Source organism: Homo sapiens, chromosome 12 (assembly GCF_000001405.40).
Source record: "Homo sapiens chromosome 12, GRCh38.p14 Primary Assembly".
Classification (NCBI taxonomy): Eukaryota; Metazoa; Chordata; class Mammalia; order Primates; family Hominidae; genus Homo; species Homo sapiens.
This window is the reverse complement of record NC_000012.12, coordinates 127,944,806-127,971,610: the sequence shown is the minus strand read 5'-3', so window position 1 is coordinate 127,971,610 and position 26,805 is coordinate 127,944,806. Positions and strand designations below refer to the sequence as shown.

The window sequence follows — 26,805 nt, the reverse complement described above, 5'->3', positions numbered from 1 at the left end:
TTAAACACATTATCATTTAGTGCCAAACACATGATGCCAGGCACTATTCTAGATAAAATAGCCTATGATAGTGAATGCACAAATCAATACCTACCGCCTTGTAAGTTGCATTCTAGTGTGTGTGGCAGAGGCAGACAATAAACAAAAACACATATGAAATATCTAGTACATCATTTTTATTCCTGAGTAGTTGCCATCTACTCGTGATCTCATGAGATCTCGTGAGACTTATTCACTATCATGAGAACAGCATGGGAAAGGCCTGCCCCCATGGGGGGCAATTACCTGCAGTGGGAGGTAATTGAATAAATAAATAAATAAACTGAATAAATAAATAAAATGAATAAATAAATAAATAAATTGAATGAATAAATAAATGCATGAACTTTTTTTTAAACATTTACCAGTTGAAGAGCATTTGGTTTGTTTCCAGTTTGGGGTGGTTATAAAGAAATATCCACACAACCATTCATGTACAGGTTTTTGCGTGAACATAAGTTTTTATTGCATTTGAATAAATACTAAAAAGTGGAATTGCTTGTTCACGTGGTAAGTGCATGTTTAACATTGTAAGAAATTTTGGGACATTTTTCTAAAGTGGCTCTTTCAATTGCTGTTCCCACAGGCGTTGTATAAGTGTTCTAGCTGCTCTGTTTCTTCTATTCTTGGTAATGTGAGTTGTCTTAATGTGGTATTTCATTGTAGTTTTAATCAGCATTTCAATAATGGCTAGTTATGTTGAACACATTTTCCTGTGTTTACTATACATCAAAGGAATGAATGACGAATAACATATAAAAACATACATATATCTGAAATTCATTATAATAAGTAAAAGCAGGCTCTGCACCATGTGTTTTCATTTCTATGGCCTTCTGGAGGGGGCATAATTATAGGAGAGAAGATTTGACCCCTGCGTAAGGCCTGGGGCTCTGGAGAGTGAATGACTCCCCCAGATGCAGCAGACAAAGAAGTGTGCAGTATTTCTTAGGGTAATGTGATGATTCTGTGTTTTGAGTGTAGCGGTAATTACATAACTATGTGCATCTGTCAAAACTCAGAAATGCACGCTAAAAAGGATAGATTTTATTGCATATACATTATACCTCAATAAAAAAGATATTTTTTTTGAGTGGCTAAGGATAGAAATAGATAAAACATCACAAGCGTATAGTCTTATCAGGTGGTTAACATCCTTACTGACAGAGTGGCATTTGAGTCAGGGTGAGGATGTTGTCAAAGAGAAATTTAGGTATGTTGCTCCATTTAAAATAAATGTCTTATTTTTAAATGGGCTAAAGTATATGTGCTTCTACCCCAATCAAGAACTTCTACTAGCAACTGTCTCAATGAGAAAGGAGAAGTACAGACAACTTCCTGCCTTTGAAATGTCAGGTGTAAAGGAGAAAAAAAAAAACCTATGATGTGATAATACAGTGGAATGGATTTAATATTGAAATAAGCATATAATGGCAGACACAGATGAAATGGGCTCTTTTTTAATAACTCAACTTTCAATACATGTTATTAATGTGTTTTACAATATTTATCTCTTCCTTATAATAGTTAACATTTTAAATCCCATTTTACAGCAGGAAGCTGAGGTACAGAGAGTTCAAATAAATCACCCAAGACTAAACAGCTAATGTCAGAGCTGGAGTTATAACTAAGCTAGTCTGCCTACAAAACCCGTACTTTTAAGACCTAAATCTATTCCCTTTACATTTTGCCTGAAATTAAATATTCAAGTAGCCATCTTGAATCATACATTAAAATAAGATTGGTGATATGACTAAGATCATATACCTTAGCTACGTTAATGAAGTCAGAGTTGGTTGTTGTCTTCTGCTGGAATCCACATCATGTATGCATTTCCACCACCAAAGAAAGCCATAAGCTCTTCAGGGATTTTGCAACCAGTTATTCCGTGGTGAATTTTCTTATCAACATAAACATTTTCTCACCCGAGCAGCTGTTTATTGTGATATTTGGTGTTAAATCATGGACAACTTTTATAAATAAGAGCGAATTTAAAAAATAATAAAAGGTAGTTTATCTAAAATGAACCTCTATAAACCAACATTGCTGTATATTTTCATGTGCAACAGTGTAATTTAACTCATCAGTTGATTGATTGTCTACAGTGCCTCCCACTGTGCTGTATAAAGATGAAATATGATCATGTAGAATGTAGGAGTTGGTTGTGCTTCCTGGATTGGTGGGTTTCTTGTTTTCATTAAGTTGGAAGAGCATTTGGCCATTATTTCTTCAAATATTTACTTTTCCTCTCCTCATACTAAGCTGCTTTAAGTTGTTCCACACCTCACTAACCTTCTTTCCATTTTGGGTGGGTAGGGGGAGGGATTCTTTTTCTCTCAATGTTCCATTTTGGGTATTTTATGTTGTTATGCATGAAAATTCAGTTATATTTTCTTTTGCAATGTCTAATCACCATTAACCCCTTCCAGCATGTGTGTGTGTGTGTGTGTGTGTGTATATGTCTGTGTGTGTATGTATGTGCGTGCATGTGTGTGTGTGTGTGTGTGTATTTTATCTCAGTATCTCAGGCACTTGGAATTTCCATCTTGGAAAGTCCAATTTGTCTTTTTAAATATCTTTCATGTCTCTGTTTAACTTTTGAACATATAGGTTTATAATATCTGTTTTAATGCTCTTCTTTGCTAATCCTAACTCTGTGTCAGTTGAAGCCTGTGTTGACTGATTATTTTCCTCATGATGAATGGTGAGTTTCTGTCATGTTTTCATGCCTAATAGTCTTTGTTTGAATGCCAGCTGTTAAACATTTTGCCTTGCTTGTGTGCTATTTTTATATTCTGGCACATTTTGAATATTGTTCTGGGATTCAATTAAGTTTTTTGGAAAAAATTTGATTCCTTTGGTTCTTGCCTTTATGGTTTTTCAGGTGGGACCAGAGCAATACTCAGTGATATGGTTTGGCTGTGTTCCCACTCAAATCTCATCTTGAATTCCCACGGGTTGTGGGGAGGGATGAGGTAGGAGGTAATTGAATCATGGAGGTGGGTCTTTCCCATGCTGTTCTCGTGATAGTGAATAAGTCTCATGAGATCTGACAGTATTATAAGGGGGAGTTTCCCTGCCCAATCTCTCTCTTTGCCTGCTGCCTCCATGTAAGACATGACTTGCTCCTCCTTGCCTTCTGCCATGATTGTGAGGCTTCCACAGCCACATGGAACTGTAAGTCCAATTAAACCTCTTTCATTTGTAAATTGCCCAGCCTCAGGTATGTCTTTATCAGCAGTGTGAAAACGGATTAATACAGTAAATTGGTACCGGGAGTGGGGCACTGCTGAAAAGATACCTGAAAATGTGGAAGCGACTTTAGAACTGGGCCTAAGAGGCAGAGGTTGGAACAATTTGGAGGGCTCAGAAGAAGACAGAAAAATATAGGAAAGTATGAAACTCCCTAGAGAATGGCTTTTACCTAAAGCCTGATAGAGATATGGACAATAAAGTCCAGGCTGAGGTGGTCTCAGATGAAGACAAGAAACTTGCTGGGAAGTGGAGCAAAGGTGACTCTGGTTATGTTTTAGCTAAGAGACTGGTGGCATTTTGCCCTCACCCTAGAGATTTATGGAACTTTGAACTTGAGAGAGATGATTTAGGGTTTCTGGCGGAAGAAATATCTAAGCAACAAAGCATTCAAGAGGTGAATTGGGTGCTGTTAAAGGCATTCAGTTTTATAAGGGAAGCAGAGCATAAAATTTGGAATATTTGCAGACTGACAATGTGATAGAAAAGAAAACCCCCCCATTTTCGGAGGAGAAATTAAAGGCGGCTGCAGAAATTTGCATTAATAACGAGGAGCCAAATAATAATCCCCAAGACAATGGCGAAAATGTCTCCAGGGCATGTCAGAGGTCTTCACAGCAGCCCCTCCCATCACAGGCCCAGAGGCCTAGGAGAAAATGGTTTTGTGGGCCCAGGTCCTCATGCAGTGTGAAGCATAGGGACTTGGTGTCCTGCATTCCAGCCGCTCCAGCTGTGGCTGACAGGGGCTAATGTAGAGCTTGAGCTGTGGCTTCAGAGGGTGCAAGCCCCAAGCATTGGCAGCTTCCACATGGAGTTGAGCCTGTGAGTGCACAGAAGTCAAGAAATGGGGTTTGGGAACCTCTGCCTAGATTTCAGAGGATGTATGGAAATGCCTGAATGTACAGGAAGAAGTTTGCTGTAGGGGCGGGGCACTCATGGAGAACCTCTGCTAGGACAGTGCAGAAGGGAAATGTGGGGTCAGAGTCCCCACACAGATTCTCTACTGGGACATTGCCTAGTGGAGTTGTGAGAAGAGGACCACCATCCTCCAGGCCCCAGAATGGTAGATCCACCAACAACCTGCACTGTTTGCCTGGAAAAGCTGCAGACACTCAACGCCAGCCCATGAAAGCAGCCAGGAGGGAAGCTATACCCTGCCAAGCCACAGGGGCAGAACTTCCTGACTATGGGAACCTACCTCTTGCGTCAGCGTGACCTGGATGTGAGATAGGGAGTCAAAGGTCATTTTTGAGCCTTAAGATTTGACTGCCCCACTGGATTTTAGACCTGCATGGGGCTGTAGCCCCTTTGTTTTGGCCATTTGGAATGGCTATGTTTATCCAATGCCTGTACCCCCATTGTGTCTAAAAAGTAACTAATTTGCTTTTGATTTTACAGGCTCATAGGCAGAAGGGACTTACCTTATCTCAGATGAAACTTTGGACTGTGGACTTTTGAGTTAATGCTGAAATGAGTTAAGACCTGGGGCACTGTTGGGAAGCCATGATTGTTTGAAATGTGAGGGCATGAGATTTGGGAGGGGCTGGGGCAGAATGATATGATTTGGCTGTGTCCCCACCCAAATCTCATCTTGAATTCTCATGTGTTGTGGGAGGGACCTGGTGGGAGGTAACTGAACCATGGAGGCAGGTCTTTCCCATGCTGTTCTGATGACAGTGAATAAGTCTCATGAGATCTGACAGTATTGTAAGGGGTAGTATCCCTGCCCAATCTCTCTCTTTGCCTGCTGCCATCCATGTAAGATGTGACTTGCTCCTCCTGCCTTTCGCCATGTTTGTGAGGCTTCCCCAGCCAAGTGGAACTGTAAATGCCCAGTAAATTGCCCAGTCTTGGGTATATCTTTATCAGCAGCATGGAAATGGACTAATACACTCAGTCTAGAGCTAATTCTTTCCTACTATGGAGGGAAGACCTTCTGGAGCACTCTACTCAATGCCCCATGGATTATGAAGTTTTCTGGTCTGAGTGTTGGGAACAGGTACTATTTTCACCTTTGAGTGAACACCAGGCACTGCTCCCCATCATCCTTTTGAATGGTTCTTTCTCCAGGTACAGGAAGGTTCTCCACACACGTGCAGACCAGCAATCCACTCAACATTCCAGGAGGCCCTTTCCAGATCTTCAGGGTCCTCTCCTTGCTTTGTACCCTTTCCCATCAGCTCCAGATTCCTCATGCTTCCTCAGCCACCAGCTCTGTCTCTTCAGCTCAGAGACTCTTCCAGATTCTACTTCAGTTTCCCCTCACATGCTGCAAACTGGGGACACTCTAAGGGAAGCAAGCTGGGGCAACTGCAGGGCTCATATGTTTGTTTCCATATCTCAGGGATCATTGTTTATTACCTGATGCCCAGTGTCTTTCCAGCTGTTGTTTCATAATTTTTAAATGGTAGATCCCTCTTAGTTCATCTTGGCCAGAAGCAGAACGTCTTCATTTATTTTTAAATGGTGCTGAAATGGCAAATACTCACTGAGACTAGCAGTTCTTCTTATGCATGTTTCTTTCTTATCGTACTTTATTACCTTTTGGTAGCTAACTCATATTTGCCATCATTTATTCAACCTTGTCTTCTAATTATGACGTGCTGATTTTAATGAATATATGCATTCAGTATTAACCCCATGTGTTTTTATTTTTATTTTTTTCAATCAGACACTCAAACATTTATTAAATATCTGCTCCAGGACAGCCACTGTGCTAATGATAAAACTTTTTTAGTGGATAAAATGTTGTATAATACAGCACTCTTTCCTTCCTGGATCATGCAATGTATTTGCGAAATAATTAAGTATAAAATGAGCGTAGGAAGTAGAGAAGATAAAGGAACATTTTTAAAAACACCCTCATTTATTAAAATCAATATTTGAGATAGTGTCTAAACTTACCTGAAATAAAATTCAATCTGTACAAAAATTAAGAATTTTAATTCTCTATCTCAAGATCCTAGAAGCATCTCTAATTTCACAATTCAAGGCCTATGGAAGACAATTTGGATTGAGCACACCAGAATTTATTTTTTCTTTCCTCTTGTCTTCTATTACAGAGGTTGAAAAGCCAAAAACATAAACAACATAAACAAAAACAAAATGCTTCACAGGTTTTCTTGTAACTGTGAGTCACCATATGATTCACTTTGAGCCAATGACCCCCAATGACAGCAAAGTGGAAATACTTAGAACAGATATCTGTGCTCTCTGTCCCCTGCAAAACAACAACAACAACAAAACCCAAAAACCTTTTTGAGTAAAGTGGTTTTTTTTTGTTTTTAAATATACCACCCTTTTTCTTTCTTCGGATGTAGCTGTGATGCCTGGAGAGAGGTGCCATTTTGTGGCCATGAGGGCAAAACATCACATGCTGATATTGATTGAGGCTAAAGAGAGCTGAATACTGGCCTCTTGATGGCGACATTGAGCCACATCAACAGCCAGAAACTGCTTCATCTGATGAGAAGACATAACTCCTCCACATACTTATGTCGCTGATGTAGAGATTGATGTTATTTTCAACCAAACACAATACCTCATACTATTATGTATTCACTTACAAACTATTTTCTTTGTCTTAACTCTCAGTAAAGCAACTCTTAAAACTCACACCTTTTTTTTTCCCTACATACTTTTCACATCTTTAAGGAAAGGATTCTACTTCCTACTGGTAAAAATAGAGGCAGTGGGGTATAATGGGACAACAATAGGTTTTAGAGTCTGATAAATGCAGGTGACTCCTGGATCAGTGACTTTTAGTTGAAGCAGAGCTTATTCTCTGGTTTCCTTGGAGCATCTGTCAACCTCGTGTAGGTTACTTCATTTCTCTTCTGATTTCTGTCTCTGAAATCACATTCGTTATGGAAATCAAGAATAATTAAAAAGCCTAGTTCACAAAACATGCAATTGTGGTCTTCTAGTCCTCAGAAATCACGTAAGAGAATCTTCATACCATGTGATTCTCTTACATGATTCTGCTTAGGTGAGATGAGCATAAAGGTGAAGGAAACACATTTCCAGACAGACTCTGTGTCTATCGTCCATTGCTGGGGCTCTTTGTTCTTGTTCTTGGAGCATTTACTGGAAATTAGAGGAAGGAAGATTCTTAGGTGGAAGCCAGTAACACTCTACAGCTGCATGTGAAACTCTGGTATGTGGATACTGGTCTCAGAGATGGTCTATGATTAAGAAGTTAAGAAAACAACCATGCAAATTTCACTCATCTGAGCCCCAGCAAAATTATGGCTTTGCAAAATAGCATTAAACTGTCATAGCCCAATCGTCCCCATGATTATGTAAAATACTTGAGCTATGTTTGTCCAAACCAGTAAGATAAACTTCTTATGTAAAAAATGTATTGATTAATGAAATATGAGCATTTTTAATTCAGCTGTCTTTGCCCATCTACATCCCAGTAACTTTTATTTCTCTTATTCATACAAAGCTTTTTGAAATTTTAGTTTTTCAAATATAGTTATGATTTAGTGCAGTCATAGACAGTTATTGAAGAGAGGTGCTGTTCATGATTTTTCCAGTTATGATTTTCAAAAGGCGTTTCATTAAAATGCGTTTTGCACCAGGGTTCACCCAGTGACTTGAATCTTTGACAACAGAATAATGTGCCACTTGCTCATAGCATAGTTTTTGGGCTTTTTTGTTTTTTGTTTGTTTGTTTGTTTTGAGACGGAGTCTCGCTTTGTCGCCCAGGCTGGAGTGCAGTGGCGCGATCTCAGCTCACTGCAAGCTCCGCCTCCCGGGTTCACGCCATTCTCCTGCCTCAGCCTCCCTAGTAGCTGGGACTACAGGCACCCGCTACTACGCCCGGCTAATTTTTTGTATTTTTGGTAGAGACGGGGTTTCACCATGTTGGCCAGGATGGTCTCGATCTCTTGAACTCGTGATCGACCCGCCTCGGCCTCCGTAAGTGCTGGGATTACAGGCGTGAGCCACCGCGCCCGGCCAGCATAGTTTTTTAAACTCCTTGTACATAGTATCAATGACTGTTTCTGGAAAACATCATGGTTTTCCCAGGAGTGAGAACTGGAGATCAGGGTGGTATAAATGCAGAAGCAACTTCAGCACAGAAAGTGCACATAGTTCTTTTTAAGAGCTCTTTAAACCTTCTGATTTATACTGAGAAAAATAATGAAACCCTCGGCATCCCAGCAATGGCTTGGGTAAAAGAAAATGGCTCCTGAAGAACTCTTTTTTGAGGTCTTTTGTTGAAACTTCAGTCATTTGGCCTGATGCAATGCACCGAAACAGCCATCTTCACCAGCTTCTCCTCGTGAACATGGCTGGAGGAAGTACTGGGAAGCCCCTGGGTAGAGGGCACTGTGAGTTATGAAACAAACATTGTTTACAATGAATAAAAGTCCTTGTGGAGGCTGGTGGTTTATCTGTGGCATCTTACAATGTACACCGCATACACTTAAATGGAGTGAGGGAACCGTAACGTAACATTCAATTTCCCTCTAGTTAAAAAATCACTTGCAATAAATTCTTTCTATAGGCTGTCTCTGACTTTATATTCCCAGTACAACATTTTATGCAAAAAGCTCAGCAAAGAGGTTGCGCTCTTGAGCACTCTTTTGCATGGTTCACATTTGAAGTTTTCTCCGAAGTATTATTACATCCCTGTAACTAGCAGCCCCTGGTGAGTAGAAAGTGACGATGGGAACTGCAAGATGCAGGATGGTATTGTCTTCTCTGTGTAAAGAGAATCGTGGAGAAAACACACACTTGTATTGCTTTTTGGAAATGAGTGGGCTGGGTTTGCAAGGGACTTATCTGTGAGCTACAGGGGGAAAGTCACAACAGTTGAGTTGTGTTGCTTCCTGCCTTGTAAGTGAAGTCAGATAACTTCTGCAATATTGGAGTTACAGAACAAACTCAGGGAGGTCACAGGCTGCCAGTTAATGATCACAATGTTGAAGGTTAAGCCAGTTTCTCACGGAGCATGCATTATTTCGTAAGGGATCAAATGTATTTTTTAATAGAAGGCATCCTCACAAACACGGTGAGCATTCATAGTCTCAATATTATAAGGCAGTGATCCTGCAGCTATTACAACAAACCTTTTCATATCCAGGAAACCTCTTTGCCCTTCTCCATAAATGATATACATTAACCTCAATTTTATGATGTATATGTATGATACATACATCAGGTCAAGATTCAACTTAAGTGTCACGATAGCTGGTATATAAATATAAATATTCACTAGCATACTCCTTATCTCTGTACCATGATGGGAAGTATTCTCCATGCCAAGCACTTGAGTCCACAGGTCCCTTAATAAAACGATTAACTGAAACTTCTTGCTGTTGGCTTCAGCGCTACTTTCTAGCCAACACCGAATTTAAGGAAATGGAGCAAGGCTTGTAATTTTCAGTTTTCCCAAAACTCTTTTAAAGTATCACCAAACAAGATTTTATAGATTTATCTCTCTGAAAATGTCACTTTCATTTTTGCATAATGCCTGAGATTTCTCCCCTCATTGAACAGATGCCTCTGTCTTCATATTAGAGCATTGAAAACATAGATGTGTATGTCACAAAAACCCTTGTCCCAACCAGTCTTCACCATGTGGCCCTGGTCAGTCATTAAACATCTTTAACACCTATTTTCCCATCAATAAAATTATAGTAATAACTACCCGGTAGGGTGAGAAGATTAAATAAGGAGACATATGAAAATTCTTAGCGGAAGGCCTGGTAATTGGTCGTGTTTAATATATGCGAGTTGTGTCTGGAAGTTTTTGTCTTATCCTCACATTCCACAGAAAACACTTGTTGGGGCAAGTGCAGTGGCACTCGCCTATAATACCAAGGTTTTGGGAGGCTGAGGCAAGAGGATTGCTTGAGGCCAGGAGTTCGAGACCAGCCTGGGCAACATAGGGAGATGCTGTCTCTACAAAAAATAAGAAAATAAAGAAAATTAGCTGGGTGTTGCAGCTGCACCTGAAATTCTAGCTATTTAGGGGCTGAGGCAGAATTGCCTGAGCCCCCAGCTGTCTGAGGCTGCAGTGAGCTTATCCTGCTGCTGCACTCCAGCCTAAGTGACAGGATGGCATCCTGTATTTTCAAATAAAGTAAAGAAAATACTTGACCAAGTTGAACAACCTGAATGACCTGAAGTACAGGTGCCTTGGCCTTCTCAGACACGTGGGTTGAATGTAAGACAGAAAGGGGCTGCTTTTTGACAACCAAAAATAGATTAAATGTGACTATTTAGATATAGATTTTTAAAAAACACTATTTCCTCTTTTATTGTGGCAAGAACACTTAAAATGAGATCTACCTTCTTAATAGATTTTAGGTGTAAAATATAGCATCATTATCTATAGGCACGACGCTGTGTATCAGAGCCTGGGATGGATTCTTCCCACAGAACTGAATTGGAACCTCAAAGAGATGCTAGCATCCCCGTGTTATTGCAACATTATTCCCAGTAGGCAAGATGTGGGAACAACCTGGATCCTGAATCCACAGATGAGTAGATAAAGTGCTTGTGTGCATGTGTGTGTGTGTGTGTGTGTGTGTGTGTGTGTGTGTGTGTGTATAAAACTTTCCAACTTTTAAAATGACAGACATGTTCAGGAAAATGGCCTTTCAGGGACACTCTTGAACCTGAGCATGGTAATGAGTTGGAGCATGAGTGGTGGTCACGTGACCACAGTTCACCGCCTGGACAGGTCTATGGCGTGGAGCAGTTTGAGGACAGCTGCCCCGAGAACCAACTCCAACACTAGCAGGAGGCAGATGATATCCTCAGTCAAACCTGGTCCCTTGTTATCAGTATGGTGAAGAGAACACAATCTCTGCTGTTAAAATGACCTCAATTCATACTTTGGCCTCACGACTCACTACATGTATGACTGACAAATGCATTCAGCTCTCAGCCTCTGATTCCTCATCTGTAAAATGATTTGACCCCACCCAATCCTTAGAGGTGCTTGTGTAGACTAAACTTAACTGTCACACATTGGAGCAAGAGTTTATCATTTTCTCTCACCCCTTGCTCCTTTAACTATCATCTCCCCTACCCCTGAGTGATCCTGTCTCTGCCTCAATTGGTCTCAAACATAGGGTAATGTTACCACCTCCTAGACTTGGGTCCTTAAAACCCAGTGACCTGCTTGTCCTCATCCCAGCTCTACTCTCCTGTCCCACCCTAGTCTATGGCCATTCCTGGCCCCTGCATGTGGCCTCTTTCCCACCCACTTCCCAGCAGCAAAGCCAAGGACAACACTGACAAATGCCAGGAACCTTAGACTCTTAAGTGTGAACAGACTTTAGTTTTTATTTTTTGTTTGTCTTCTAAGCAGATTCTCCAGAAGTAACAGCTGCCCATAGGACCACGATAAATCAGATATAAGTACAGATATTATCACTCGTTTAAATAGCTAGCTAATGAAACAATTTCTTAGGACATATATTTGACAAAAATTGACACAAAGTGTCACTCCATTACTAATTTGAATCCTCAATCACAGTAGTTTTATTCCTAAATTTATGCTTTATTTGGAATACTCCAGGAAAGATGAATTACTGTGACCTATCTTGCTAAGTGAAAATTATTGGCCAATGAAGATGGGTTTCTTAGAATTCTATTCTCTTTCTTGCATCAGGTAGGATTAGTTTGGCTTCCTATTAATAGACAGATTTAAAACAAAGAGTGGTTTAAATAAGATAAAAGTGTATTTGGTTCTAATATGGTAGAAGTCTGGATGGATGCTGCACAGGTCCGGTATGACAGCCTAAAGGACATCAGGGATCAGGCTGCTTCAGACATTCTCCCTCCCTAACACTAGGCAGAGCTCTGCCTTCCCTTGGTCCACAACAGTGGCTGGAAGTAACCATCACACCTGTTTCAGGTTAGCTAGAGGAGAAAGAAGAAAGAAGACAGAAAGGGGAGATGTCAAAGGCTTTTAAGAAAAGTTCCTTGCAGCTCTCATATTTGGTTCCCCTGAAATACATAGTTGGAATTCTTTTGGAGACACAGTGGGCAGATTTGCATGAGGACCAAGGAGCATCCAGGAGTGAAGAAATAAAAAATGTAATCCCTTTCCTTTGGAGTTCTTGGAGGAAGTCAGACACCATGAGGGATAGGACAATCTATAGAGAGGGTGTGGTAGGCAGAATAATAGTCCCTCAAACTTGCCTGGATCTAACTCTTCAGAAAATGAATATATTGTCTTACCTGTCAAAAGGAACTCTGCAGATGTGATTAAGGTTCAGAACCTTATGATAGGGAAATGATCCTGCTTATTTAGGTAAGTGCAATCTAATCACATGAGTTTTTTGTTTTGTTTTGTTTTTTCTTGACGGAGTCTTGCTCTGTCGCCCAGGCTGGAGTGCAATGGCACGATCTCCGCTCACTGCAACCTCCACTTCCCGGGTTCAAGCAGTTATCCTGTCTCAGCCTCCCAAGTAGCTGGGATTACAGACGCCCACCACCATGTCCAGCTAAGTTTTTGTATTTTTAGTAGAGACAGGGTTTCACTATGTTGGCTAGGCTGGTCTTGAACTCCTGACCTCGTGATCCGCCCGCCTCGGCCACCCAGTTTTTAAACTGAAGAACATTTTCAGCTGTGCATGGAGGGAACTGTGAGTGCAGAAGGCTAATGTGAGAGATGGTCACATAAGGTGGCCTCATGTTCCTTCTCCACTCCCGCTGCTTCACTTGACCAGCCTAAAAAAAAAAAAAAAAAAAAAGCAGTACTTATGTTAATGTACAGTTTCTGGCTTTAAAGATGGAGGAGGAGGGCCAGAGGCCAATGAATGTGGGTGACCTCTAGACGCTAGAAAAGGCAAGGAATTGGATTCTGCCCTAAAATCCACAAGTTAAACTGCATCCCTGCCAGCTCCTTGATTTTAGCCCAGTGAGACCTATGTTGGACTTCTAACCTACTGTGAGATAATAAGCGTGCAGTATTTTTAACTGCTACATTTTGGATAATTTGGTATAGTAGCAATAGAAAATTATTACAGGCACCGATGCCCATCAGAGATACAAGCTGTCGTATGGAGTTCGTGTTAGTGTCCTAGGGTCATCTCAGCAAAGTGCAACAAACAGAGTGGCTTAAAACAACATAAGGTCATTCTCTTATAGGTCTGGAGGCCAGAAGTCTGAAATCAAGGTATCAACAGGGCTGTGCACCCTCTGCGTGATCTAAGGGAGAATCTGTTTCATGCCCTTCTCTTAGCTTCTGGTGCTGTCGGTAGTGCTTGGCATTCCTTGCCTAGTAGATGTATCACTCAAATCTCTGACTCTGTCATCACTTGGCCTTGTCCCCATGTGTCTCTATTCACATCGTTTTCCTCCTGTGCATTCCTGTCTCTGAGTCTTCTTGTTCTGAAGAGGACACCAGACATATTAGATCAAGGACTCACCTTATTGCAATATAACACGTTTTAACTAATTACATCTGTAATGACCTAATGACTCTATTTCCAAATAAAAGTCACATCCTCAGGGGGACACTCTTCAACCTGCATGGGTGGTTGAGATGCTTCTAAGCACATCATGATATGGCTGTCCCATGAGAAGTTCTTGCTATGTGTGCAAACGGAAAGAAACGTATTGCCTTAGAGTAGCAATGAACAGGTTTTTTTTTTTTTTTTTTTTTTTTTCCAACTACCCAATACTCTAAGAAAACCCTGCCAGGCTGGCATCTATGGGGTATGGCTCTGTCCACACAGTACTTCCTCCTAGGGACAAAGATGTGTGGGACTTCCAGGCCCACTGGTTTTGGTAGAAATACACTTGCACATCGTGATGCTATTCAGCCAGAATTGTTACTTATCCACTCACCTTGTAGGAATTTATTTAGAAATACAAATGTGACATTCATTTGCTGTGCATCACTGCTCATAAATATGTGTGCCAGTGGTCAGTGTAGATCTTTGGTAAAGGACCTAATAGTAAATATTGTAGGTTTGCAGACCGTGTGGTCTTTGATGCAAATGCTAAGCTTTGCTGCTGCATGGCAGTCATAGATTATATGTAAACGCGTGAGTGTGTCTGTGTTCCGAGGAAAACTGAATTAACAAAAATAGGTAGCAGGCAAGATTCAGCCTAGGCACTGTAATTTACTGAGCTCTGAAGTAGGCTGATGACTAAACTCTGAAGCTGTCTAGATCATTCCTCAGGGAGCAAATTCTAACCCACATTCCTTGTGCCAGAGCATGGTTTTAATCCTGCTTGTCTCTTGGGAAGGCTAAAAAAATCTATTAAGCAGATGCTGCATTAAAAAGTACAGTGTTAATTAAGATACAAAAAAAGGATTATTTATTTCCTTTTGATATGAAAAGAGGTATTTGAGTCTTTTTACCTCTTAAACCCATCTACTTTGCTGGGTGGTTTGTTTTACTTGTACCCATATAGGTACACACAGAACTCAGGGACGAGGTACTCCTTGTCCCTGTCTGGACACTCACTGCTGGATAGTTCTGTTTGGAAGGAAAAGGGCATTTTAACTGCCACCTCAGCACCTGCAGCAGGAAAGGGTCAAGACTACCATCACCAAGAACGTGAAGGAGCTCCCACCTTTAGAAAAACCCCTGAAAAAGGACCCAGCTCTCATCCACTCTTGCTGTATTTCGCAGCCCTTGTTTCTTGTAGTCTTCTCTTGTCCAACATGGTTCAACACTTCCAGGACAAATCTAGTGAATATTCAGATTCTTCCTTTTTTTTTTTTTTTGAGACAGGGTCTCACTCTGTCACCCAGGTTGGAGTGCAGTGGTGTGATCATGGCTGACTACAGCTTTGACCTTCTGCGCTCAAGTGATCCTCCCACCTTAGCCTCCCGAGTAGCTGGGACTACAGCTGCACACCACTATTAACACCCAGCTAATTTTTGCATTTTTTTTTTTAATAGAGACAGGGTCTTGCCTTGTTGCTAAGGTTGGTCTCAAACACCTGGGCTCAAGTGATTCTCCCATCTCGGCCTCCCAAAGTGCTGAGAGCTCTATTTTTTTCAGAGACTATTTTATCTTCTGTATTCAAGTTTTAGGTTTAAAAAAATGAATTTCAATCCAGGGATTGATCCATAGCAACATAATATCTAAAGTTTAGCATATACCAAAGTTTCTTCACATGTCAAATGAAATTAATTATGAGAAATTATAGAAAATTACTATGGAGTTGCAAAAATAAATATCAATTCAAGCTCAGAACACATTTCAAATGATTCACTTGCAACCATAAAATTGAACAATTAACCCAAAAGAAACTAAAAGTTGATCTATATCAGCCCACACTCTCCTTTTGTGGGTAACAGGACTGAGGATCAGAGAGGACAGTAATCGGCTTAGGGTCCCACATCCAGATATTGGCAAGATTTTCCTTTTGCTTTATTATCATATTGCTTTTATCACTGTAGGCTTTTAGTATATGCGAATCAGCAGGCGATGGTGAAATGGGAAGGTTAATGTAATCTAACTAAAGGAAATAGTGGAAAAGGCTGTCAATTGTCTTATTCGTCTCTATGATAACCAATTTAGAGGCATCTGATCATGTCCAGCCCTTTAAGTACTTCAACATTTACAATCTTTTTTCTTCTTTGGTAGGGATATAAGAAGACTCAAATTTCTTTGGTCCTGTAGAGGTACAAATGTCAATCTACAAGCTCAAGTATAGAGAAAAGATACATTTCTTTTTTTATTTCAGTAATTTATATTACTTTTTTTTTTTTTGAGATGGGGTCTCACTCTGTGGCCCAGGCTGGAGTGCAGTGGCGCGATCTCAGCTCACTGCAAGCTCTGCCTCCCAGGTTAGCGCCATTCTCCTGCCTCAGCCTCCCGAGTAGCTGGGACTACAGGCTCCTGCCACCACGCCTGGCTAATTTTTTTGTATTTTTATTTGAGACAGAGTTTCACCGTGTTAACCAGGATGGTCTCCATCTCCTGACCTCATGATCTGCCCGCGTTGGCCTCCCAGAGTGCTGGGATTACAGGCGCGAGCCACCGTGCCCGGTCTTATATTACTTTTTATAAGTACCCTTGCTATTAGATACCTGCATGTTACTCTCCATCAGTTCAGAAATCCCACCCGCAGTGACTTCCAAAGTCAAGACTGAGACAAAGGTTACGATGTAACCAACCCTTCCCACCAGAGCCTCAGTTTCTTTCAGGTCCTCTTTTTTCTCTGTATCTTGCCTGGTCTTGAAGACAGAAAACCTTCCTCGACTTTATCAATTTTTAAATGATATGCTCTGAGTTATTTTAGAATTCAGAATTTTAAAATCCAGGAGGCTTTCCTTTGACATATCACCTCTTCTCCAATGCCATGAATGCTAGGTGAGTTGACCTCACAAATGTGAAAAAGAGTGAAGAGTAAGAAGAAATACCAAGGAAAAATCAGTTAATGTTTCAAAACATGAATTCCCCACAGATCCATTTTTAATGTCATGCTTTTATCTGGATCAGAAATACAAGTAACAGGCATAGGTGGAAAGGCATTGTTATAATCGCTTCCTCCCAGTGGAAGGAAGAAAACCTCCCAGCAGTTCTCTTCCAGTTTGCAGTGGACATCCATGTACTCGGGGCACTTAGAATGAGATTGGAGTCTCCTCTGACCCATCCACTCCTTTTAAGCTGGGACTCAGTTTTTGCCTTGATAAAATGTGATGGCTGAAGAACATGATTTTTAAATAACAGGTGCTGGTGAGATTGGAGAGACAGAAGAACACTTAAACACTGTTGGTGGGAGTGTAAATTACCTCAACCATTGTGGAAACCGGTGTGGCAATTCCTCAAAAACCTAAAAACAGAACTACCATTCTACCCAGCAGTCCCATTCCTGAGTATATACCCAAAGGAATATAAGTTATTCTAATCTTAAAGACACACAACATGCTAATGTTCGTTGCAGCACTACTCACAATAGCAAAGACATGGAATCAACCGAGATGCCCATCGGTGGTAGACTAGATAAAGAAATGTACATATATACCATGCAGTACCATGCAGCCGTAAAAAAGAACAGGATCATGTCCTTTGCAGGAACATGGATGGAGCTGCAGGCCATTATCCTTAGCAAACTAACACAGAAACAGAAAACCAAATACAGTATGTTCTCACTTATAAATGGGAGCTAAATAATGAGAACCCATGGACACATAGAGGGAAAAAACAGCCACAGGGTCCTACCAGAGGGTGCAGGGTGGAAGGAGGGAGAGGACCAAGAAGAATAACTAATGGGTGCTAGGCTTAATACCTGGGTGAAACAGGCATACCTAGATGAAATAATCTGTACAACCAACTCCTGTGACACAGGTTTACCTATATAATAAACTTGCACATGTACCACTGAACTTAAAAAAAAGTCAGAATGAAAAAAAAATTAAAAATACTTTATTTTTAGGGCCATTTTAAATTCAGAGCCCATTGAGGAGAATGGACAGAAAACTCCTGCATACCTCCTGCCCCAACCTATGTTCCGATATGACCTGCTGGACTATCAACGTCTCTATAATTGTTTGTTACGATTGTGGTACATTTGTTACAATTGATGAACCAGCACTGATACATTCTTATCACCCAAAGCCACAGCTTACATCAGTAACCCTTGGTGTTGTTCATTCTGCGGGTTTTGACAAGTATATAATGACTTGTACCCTCCATTATATTATCATACAGAGTAGTTTCACTGCTCTAAAAATCTTCTGTGCTCCATACACTTAACTGTACATTTTCCCAGTCTCTGGAAACCACTTATCTTTTTAATTTGCCTTTTCTAGAAAGTTACATAGTTGGAATCATATGGGTTGTAGCCTTGTGTGATTGGCTTCTTTAAATACACATTTAAAGTTCTTTAGTAGCTTTTCAGGACTTGATAGCTCATGTCTTTGTAAAGCCGAATAATATCCTATTGTCCGGATATATCTGTTTACGTATCCATTACTTATTGAAAGACATCCCAAATTTTGTTAATTATGAATAAAGCTGCTATAAACATTCATGAGTAGGTTTTTGTGTGGACACAGGTTTTCAGTTTCTTTGGGTAAATGCTATGGAGCGTGAATGCTAGATTGTATAGTAAGCATACGTTTAGTTTTTTGAGACTGCAAAACTGTCTTCCAAGGTGAATATACTATTTTGCATTCCCATCAACAATGAAGGAGACTTCCTGTTTCTCCACCTCCTCGGCAGCATTTGGTGTTGTCAGCGTTTTGGATTTTTGCAAGACTTATTTTTTGGTACTTTTCTTTTATGTTGCTATTGTTTGGCTTCAAGTAGAATCTCTAGGTTTTCTTGTTTTGAGTGAAATCAAGAAACAAGAATGAGCTGGCATGGTCAATCTGGTTGGCTTGTAAGAACTGGAAAACAGGAGACTAGAAGATAGAACCCAAAATTGTGACAATAATCCTATACACACTTTGGTTACCTATCCACCAACTGTTCTGAATTATGATTTGGTTAAGACATCTACTCTTTCTACATACAGCATGTACCCCAGGAGAATCTGAATTCACTCCAACTCGAGGAATGGGCTAATTCTATCCTCATTTCCAGTGAGGGTGTAAATGGTTATGTGACCCAATTTTGGCCAATGACAAGGAAGTTCTGTTTGTGGGTATCCGGGAGAGAAATGTCCAGATTCCTAAGAAAGAGACACAGGATGAAGTGGTCATTTCTTATGCCTGCTATTACGTCTGAATGAGACACTTGGGATTGCTACAGCCATTTGCAGCCCTTGTGAGGACAAAGTCATCAGCAAGAATGAAGGATCAGACAGATGGAAAGAACTTGGGGCCTTGGGTACAATATTTAGCCCTTGGATCAACTTCCCCCAAAGCCATTCCTACTTGACTTCTTGTTAGGTGAAAAAAGATGTATCTTTATGGTTAAGTTGAGTTAGAGTTCTCTCATGTATATTGGGAGTTGTCCTCACTTATAAATACTCATGCTATTTTCTTTGTATGGAGAGTAAAATAATTTAGAAGACTTGAATACTTAATATGGGTCTTGAGTAGCAGTGCCAGGGAGAAGGAATTGACTTTCATGGTTCTGGGTTTATGTTTAGTGAAGAAGGGCAGAGAGGAAGAAAATTAGGAGAAATATTCTTATATTGGAAGGTTGGTGATAACTAAGAATTGCATTATTTTCTGGTAACAATTAAAAATTGCATTAATAACATTCTAACTTTTATTAGCTTTAAGTCATTCTGTATTCCAGCTATTAGACTCACTTCAAAGACGGAAGGTACATTGAAAGATGGGATCCCATCTCTTTGTCTTTTTTATTCTTCTGAGACTAGAAGTCAACTTCTACTTATCCCCATCCCATTCTTTTCTGACATCTCTTATTATTCACTAGTCCTAAGAGACTGAGGTCACTGAGTCCCGTGCAGACACACAGATGGGATATAGGTCATAGAAGTGTATTTTATGTTGCTGTTATGACAGTGTTTAAAAAACAAGATTTTTTTCCCACTTTTCCCTACATATTGAAAGACGTCACAAAAAAGAAGCCTCTGGAGTTGTGTCCTGGGTGCCCCACATTAGGCAGAGCAGAAGCTCCCTCATTTGCCACAGTCCTCACCATTCCCTATTGCCTTATGATCAACCTCCCAAACCCACTCACACTGCTTTCCTCGACACCTATTAACATTTGAGTTTATTGCCTATATAATCATTCTAAGCTGGCATCCTGCTTGCTCCCTCATTGGAAGGACTTCTACCACCAAATATTCTACAGGGTAATGTTCTCATTCCAGGCACATAAACATTTGTAAGAAAGAACAAAACACTGGTGACTGGAAAATTCAAACTTTAATGAGGAAATGAGCCAAAACGTTCACTTTATTTTTACAACTATAAGGAAAAATTTAAAAAGAAGAAATAATCGGAGCTAATTTATTTATTTTAGAGGGGATATTTTGATTTAATTTATTTAGCATTTTTTAAAAGTTGACATTTATCTCTGAGAATTATCTCACAGTTAAATATATAATATCTGAATGGGATGAAAATATAATTTTTAATCATTTTTAATTTTCTGAAAATAATTACTATGAATGTTGCAAACATCCATTTTTTAATAACTGAACTTGATTACCCTAAAAGTTTGTGAAGAAAGGGTCATTTGTAATTTTTTCTTCTTAATATATTCATTTACAAAAGCAGTAAGAAATTGATATAACATGTCAAAAGCCATTAGATATAGCTAAGGCTTGTCCAGCTCTATCTGTAACCAAATCCAGACTCATGGAATATTATGAAGCCATAAAAAAGAATGAGTTCGTGTCCTTTGCAGGGACATGGATGAAGCTGGAAGCCATCATTCTCAGCAAACTAACACAGGAACAGAAAATCAAACACCACATGTTCTCACTCATAAGTGGGAGTTGAACAATGAGAACACATGGACACAGGGAGGGGAACATCACACACTGGGCCCTGTCAGGGAGTTGGGGGGCAACATGAGGGAGAGCATTAGGTCAAATACCTAATGCATGTGGTTCTTAAAACCTAGGTGACGGTTTGATAGGTGCAGCAAACCACCATGGCACATGTATACCTATGTAACAAACCCGCATGTTCTACACATGTATACCAGAACTTAAAGTAAAATAAATTTAAAAAAATGAACTTTTGCACTGTTACATTGTAATATGGAGCTTGAATCACAAGTCATTTAAACCCTATCAACCACCATGAACCTCCACCACCTCAAAGGTGCTGGAAATTTAAAATGTGTTTGGATAGAAGTATCTTTAAATCTCTCTCTTAATGAATGGGTATTCAATCTATGATTTGTGGGGCTTGCTCCAGAATCTCCCTTACTAATAGAGTAAACTGTAGTAAACTCTTTACCATAGAGTTGGGAGGCTGATCAAGTGAATGAATGTGAACAGAATAATGGGTAAAGACTAAGTATGCCTTACACACAGAAATTAAGGAAGGTTTGGAGCACATAGGATGTGCCAATTAAGCATTCCGTTCAGTTGCAGGTAACATAGATCTCTTCTAAAATAGGAGTTTATTTCTCCCTCACATATCATGAAGTCCAGAGGTTGGTGGTAGAACTTGTGCAATAGAAACTTAGTTCCGTCAATATCCACCTACATCCTATCTTTCTCTCTCTTCTCTGCCATCTGTAATCGCCGACTTTTATTCTCATGTTTATCTCAACATCACAACAGGGCATCTGTATACCAGCCATCACTTCAGCATCCCAGACAGGACAAGAAGGAAGGTGAGAAAGACAAAAGAACAATTGCTACCAGAGTCACCTCCTCATCTAAGTATTCCTTGTAGATGCCATCCGATAACTTCATGGCCTTTATTTCCATCTTATTGGCTGCTGTTGAGTCACAAGGTGATGTCTACCTGTAAGAGAAATTGATCCACGCAGTTTTTGTTTGTGTGTGTGTTTAGGTATATTTATTTTTCCACTTCCAAGAAAACTACAGCACTTTTAGAAAGAAAGGTGAATACACAGTAGACAGAGAGGTTCAATTTTAAGATGACAAGGGTCCGGACACACCAGCATGCAGGGTCCCATGAATATCACTGACTTATGCACTACCAGCAAATATTGCCGCTCCTGAGTTCTACCTATGCTGTTTCTCAGTATTTGTCTATAAATTGACACACTGTTGTGTTTAAATTCATCTACTTAAAAACGAACCTTTTCTTGAACTCTAAGTGAAAAAAAATCACTACATCTTGCCATAAAAATAAATATAATAAAGATGAACAATTTTATAGTGCTCTACCTACATAATCATACCTCCAAAATTCTGAACATGGATTTGCTGTTTTAAATAGGAGCTCAAAAAGTGTGAAAAAATGCTATTACAGAAAAGATGATCCTTTCGTATCACCAGAAGGATAAAAGAAGATGCTAATGGGAAATGATTCCTCATAATATCATTTAACATTTTTGGTTGTTTAGAGACGGAGTCTCGCTCTGTCGCCAGGCTAGAGTGCAGTGGCGTGACCTCAGCTCACTGCAACCTCCGCCTCCCGGGTTCAAGAGATTCTCCTGTCGCAGCCTCCTGAGTAGCTGGGATTACAACCGTGCTCTAATTTTTGTATTTTTAGTAGAGATGAGGTTTCACCATGTTAGCCAGGATGGTCTGGGTCTCTTGACCTCGTGATCTACCCACCTCGGCCTACCAAAGTGCTGGGATTACAGGCGTGAGCCACCGTGCCCAGCCATATTATTTAACATTAAGAGTGATGACACCTAAAATTATCTCACATTCCAGCCAAAGCATGTGTCCTCTGTGCTGACTTTGTCTAACAGTTTCATTTACAGATGAGATAATGAAACCTAAGAAGGGCGTATTGTTTTCCTGAGATTTACCGCAGACAAGGGGCTAGGACACATGTTACCAACCTCTAAGTTTATGGTCATTCTACTTCATCTCATCACCTTTTATCAACACCAATACATTCAGGAGTTCTGAAGTTCCTGGAACACAAACTTCACTGCCTCAACACTACGTGGATTGGAGCACCCATGTCTGGTGTTCTGCAAAGCAATGGGTAGACACTGGTTTAGAAAACACGTATGCTGCCTGCCCCTGTGGTGCGCAAAACTGAATGCCTGATTTGTTAGCAAAACAGATCAAAACAAAATGAATTCCAATGCAAAGCAAATGGCTGAGATTATCTTCAAATAAAATAAAGCCAACTGATTGCTAAAAATGTTTTTTGTGGGTTCCGATTCACAGTTCTCATTCACTAAAACGACCCTGGCTGGAGATCGAGACCATCCTGGCTAACACGGTGAAACCCTGTCTCTACTAAAAATACAAAAAATAGCCAGGCATGCCAGTACTATACTGCATGTACTACAGGCACGTGCCTATAGCCCCACCTACTCGGGAGGCTGAGGCAGGAGAATCGCTTGAACCCGGGAGGCAGAGGTTTCAGTGAGCCGAGATCACACCGCTGCACTCCAGCCTGGGCGACAGAGTGAGACTCTGTCTCAAAAAAAAAAAAAAAAAGACCCTGGTTGTGAATTTGACTCAGTCCCTTCATCATCAGAGTGCATTTTTTCTTTTTTCTGTACATGTTAGCATTTAATTTAACATAAAGTGCAAAGAAATGTTCAGTTGCTTTATTTCCTCATATAGAAAAAAAAAGACTCATCTTTAAGTTAAGCTTGATTTTTATTCTGTTATATCATTTAACACATTTCCATGAGTCTATTTAAAGATATGGGCTAGCACATGGAATATTAGCATGTGGCCAGACTGTGAACATTTAGTGTGGACCCCAGGACTTCATTTGCAAGTGTAGATTTCGTTAGGTTAATGGGAACAGTGACCACACAACAGCAAGGGAGCCTGTCCCCAGGGGAAGGACGTTCAGAGGAAATATTACAATCAACATTTTCTTACTTTTTTTTTTTCCTTCTTGAATTCATAAGTCAAAGTTAAGATTTGCTTAAAATGTCACAGAGTTGAGGCATTTGTTGAGGGTGAAAATAACTCCATTGTCTTAGATGGACAATTTCTGAATGTGTGGAGATGCTCACCAGACACGTTCTTCCTGCCCATTGCACAGACAAAACCAATTCGCTGAGACTATGGTATGGCAGTAAAGAAAGAGTTTAATTGACACTAGACCAGCCATGCAGGGAACAGAGTTATTACTCAAATCAGTCTCCCCGAAGGCTTGGAGGTTAGGATTTTTCAAAGATGCTTTGGCGAGCAGGAGGCTAAAAAATGGGTGCCGTTGATTGGTTGCCTATGAAATCATAGAGGTGTGGAAAATGATCCTTGTGTGCTGAGTTTATCCCCAGGTGGGGCCACAGGACCGGTTCAGTCATGACTCGTGATTCCAGGTGAGGTCAGTTGATTGCCAGAATGCAGAGGTCTGAAAAACATCTCAAGAGACCAATCTTAGGTTCTACAGTAGTGATGTTATCCATAGGAGCAACTGGGGAAGGCTCAAATCTTGTGACCTCTGGCCACATGACTCCTGAGTAGTAAGGATGATAGAAACTGCCTACATTTTAGCAGAATTCAGACTCCTCCCATGATCCTCATCTTGAGGCCTTTCATTAGTTTTTGGTCCCTGAGCAAGGAGGAATTAGTTTTAGGAAGGGACTATTGTCATCCTTGCTCTAAGTTAAACTATAAATTCCTCCCATGGTTAGCTTGGCCTGTGCTCAGGAATGAGTGAAGATAGCTGGCTTGTGAGGCTTGAGGCAAGATGGAGTCAGTCATGCAAGACCTTCTCTCACTACCCTGATTTTTGCAAAGGCAGTTTCAGTGTTTTGCGTGATGTGCCTTCTACTCAACGATCCAGGTTCATTCTTCCACACTTCTAGGCTGAGACATAGGTCCATGTCTGAAGTAGCAAAAGATGGTCCCACCGGGCGGGGTGGCTTATGCCTGTAATCCCAGCACTTTGGGAGGCTGAGATGAGCGGATCACAAGGTCAGGAGATTGAGACCATACTGGCTAACACGGTGAAACCCCGTCTCTACTAAAAATACAAAAAAAATTAGCCGGGTGTGTTGGCGGGCACCTGTAGTCCCAGCTACTCGGGAGGCTGAGGCAGGAGAATGGCGTGAACCCGGGAGGCGGAGCTTGCAGTGAGCCGAGATCGCGCCACTGCACTCCAGCCTGGGGGACAGAGCGAGACACTGTCAAAAAAAAAAAAAAAAAAAAGATGGTTCCTCTGGCCTTGAATTAGGACAGTAAAAATATTCAGGACCAACAACTGCCACCCCATCAGGCAGAACTCACCACTCACCTGGAACAATTCCATGCAGCTCAAATTCGAAATCAAATCTAGGTTCTTAATGTGCTACTTGGAGCCTGTGCTTGCCCCCGGAGACTTGTTTCTTACCTGCTTTCCCCCTTACACGCTGGCCTGCAAAGAACTGAGGGAAAAAAATCAGTTGTTTGCTGACATTTAAAAATAAAAGGATCTAAGGCCAGGTGTAACGGCCCAAGCCTGTAATCCCAGCACTTTGGAAGGCTGAGGTAGGTGGATTGCTGAGCTCAGGAGTTCAAGACCAGCCTGGGCAACATGGTGAAATCCCCTCTCTACCAAAAATACAAAAAATTAGCCTGGTGTGGTGGGGAGTGCCTGTTCTCAGACACTCAGGAGGCTGAGGTGGGAGCATCACTTGAGCCTGGGAGGCGGAGATTGCAGTGAGCTGAGATCCTGCCACTGCACTCCAGCCTGGTTGACAGAGTGAGACTCTGTCTGAAAATAAATAAATAAATAATAAAATATAAAAAATAAAAATTAAGAATTTAAAAAATGAAATTAAAAATAAAAGGATCTGACAGCAAATGACAGATTTCTGGCACTTTCTGGCAAATCTAAGGGATCTACTACCACATTTCTTCAGAGTAACAACCATGGAGCTTTTAGATGGGTGCCTTCATTTCCTGAGGCAGACACAACAAACTTAACGGCCAGAAACAATACAGGTTGATTCTCTCACAGTACAGGAAGCCGGAAGTTTCCCCGGCAGAGTCGCACTCCCTCTGAAGGCTCTAGGGGAGGATCCTCCCTTGCCTGTGCTGCCTCCAGGTCTTCCTGCCTCTTCTGGTGGCAGCTTCACTCTCATCTCCACCTCTGTCTTCACAGGCCTCCTTCCCTGTGTCTCATATCTTCCGCTCCTTTATTTTATAAGGACACCACTATTTGGATTTAGGGCCCACCCTAAATCAAGGATGGTATGATCTCAAGATCCTTAACTCAATTACACCTGCAAAAATCCTAGTTCCAAAATAAGGCTCACAGGTGCCAGGAGTTGGATGTTAGATGTAATTTTGCGGGGACACTATTCACTCCCCTAGTGGGGTCTCCACCTTCCAGCATCTTCCCCATTCCATCTTGTATATGGCCAAATTCTCCTTGCCTATCTCATTCACCCATGCATTAGAGTTTCTAAACCTGATTCCACTGTATCTTCTAGCCCACGGTTTTGAACGGAACTGTCAAAACCAAATTGCACTGGGCAAAGTTAAGGAAGGCTTCATTCAAAGCTACTGCAATACGGTAAAGAGACCAGAACTCAGTTTGAGCACAGCTCCTCTGAAGAAAGTGTGTGTGTGTGTGTGTGTGTGTGTGTGTGTGCGCGCGCGCGTGCGCGCACATGTGAAGACCTGGGGTCAGGGAATTGTAGGCCATCCGTCTTGGTGAATCAGCTTTCCCCAAAGGAAAAGTGAACTTTCTCGTATCTTTATGACAAGAGGGAGTTTTAACATTTGGAGCAAGACTCCCGCTGAAGTTAGGCAACTTCCCTCCCACAGAGATGGGGAGATAGGGCAGCCCATGTTCCTGGATGTCTACATTTCAAATGAATGTCTCCCAGGTCCTTGAGAAAGACAGGTCAGGTTTTTAGCACTGGCAGGAGGATTTGGAGCAGATTTCCCTCTCCAAGGGGCAGAGAAAGAGCCGCAAAGGCAAGTCTTCTGAAGTAAATGCTCTAAGAATAGGGAAACCAGGGAGCTGGTGGCAGCAAGAAGAGTTAAGCTGAGAGGAACATTAGGGCTGTCTTGGTCTATACCCATGTA

The 26,805-nt window shown here is 41.0% G+C and overlaps 2 long non-coding RNA genes across 2 annotated transcripts in view; one reads left to right on the top strand and one right to left on the bottom strand.

The window, feature by feature from the left end:
• The window catches only part of LINC00508 (long intergenic non-protein coding RNA 508), a 99,903-nt gene that overhangs the window by 12,281 nt on the left and 60,817 nt on the right, over positions 1-26,805 (top strand). The window lies entirely within an intron of this gene.
• Positions 20,059-26,805, bottom strand: part of LINC00507 (long intergenic non-protein coding RNA 507) — a 36,143-nt gene continuing 29,396 nt past the window's right edge. The window contains exons 4-5 of the long non-coding RNA NR_046392.1: positions 22,653-22,787; positions 20,059-21,637 (exon numbers count right to left, since the gene is read on the bottom strand). This is a non-coding gene — a long non-coding RNA (long intergenic non-protein coding RNA 507). The remainder of the gene's footprint in view (positions 21,638-22,652; positions 22,788-26,805) is intronic.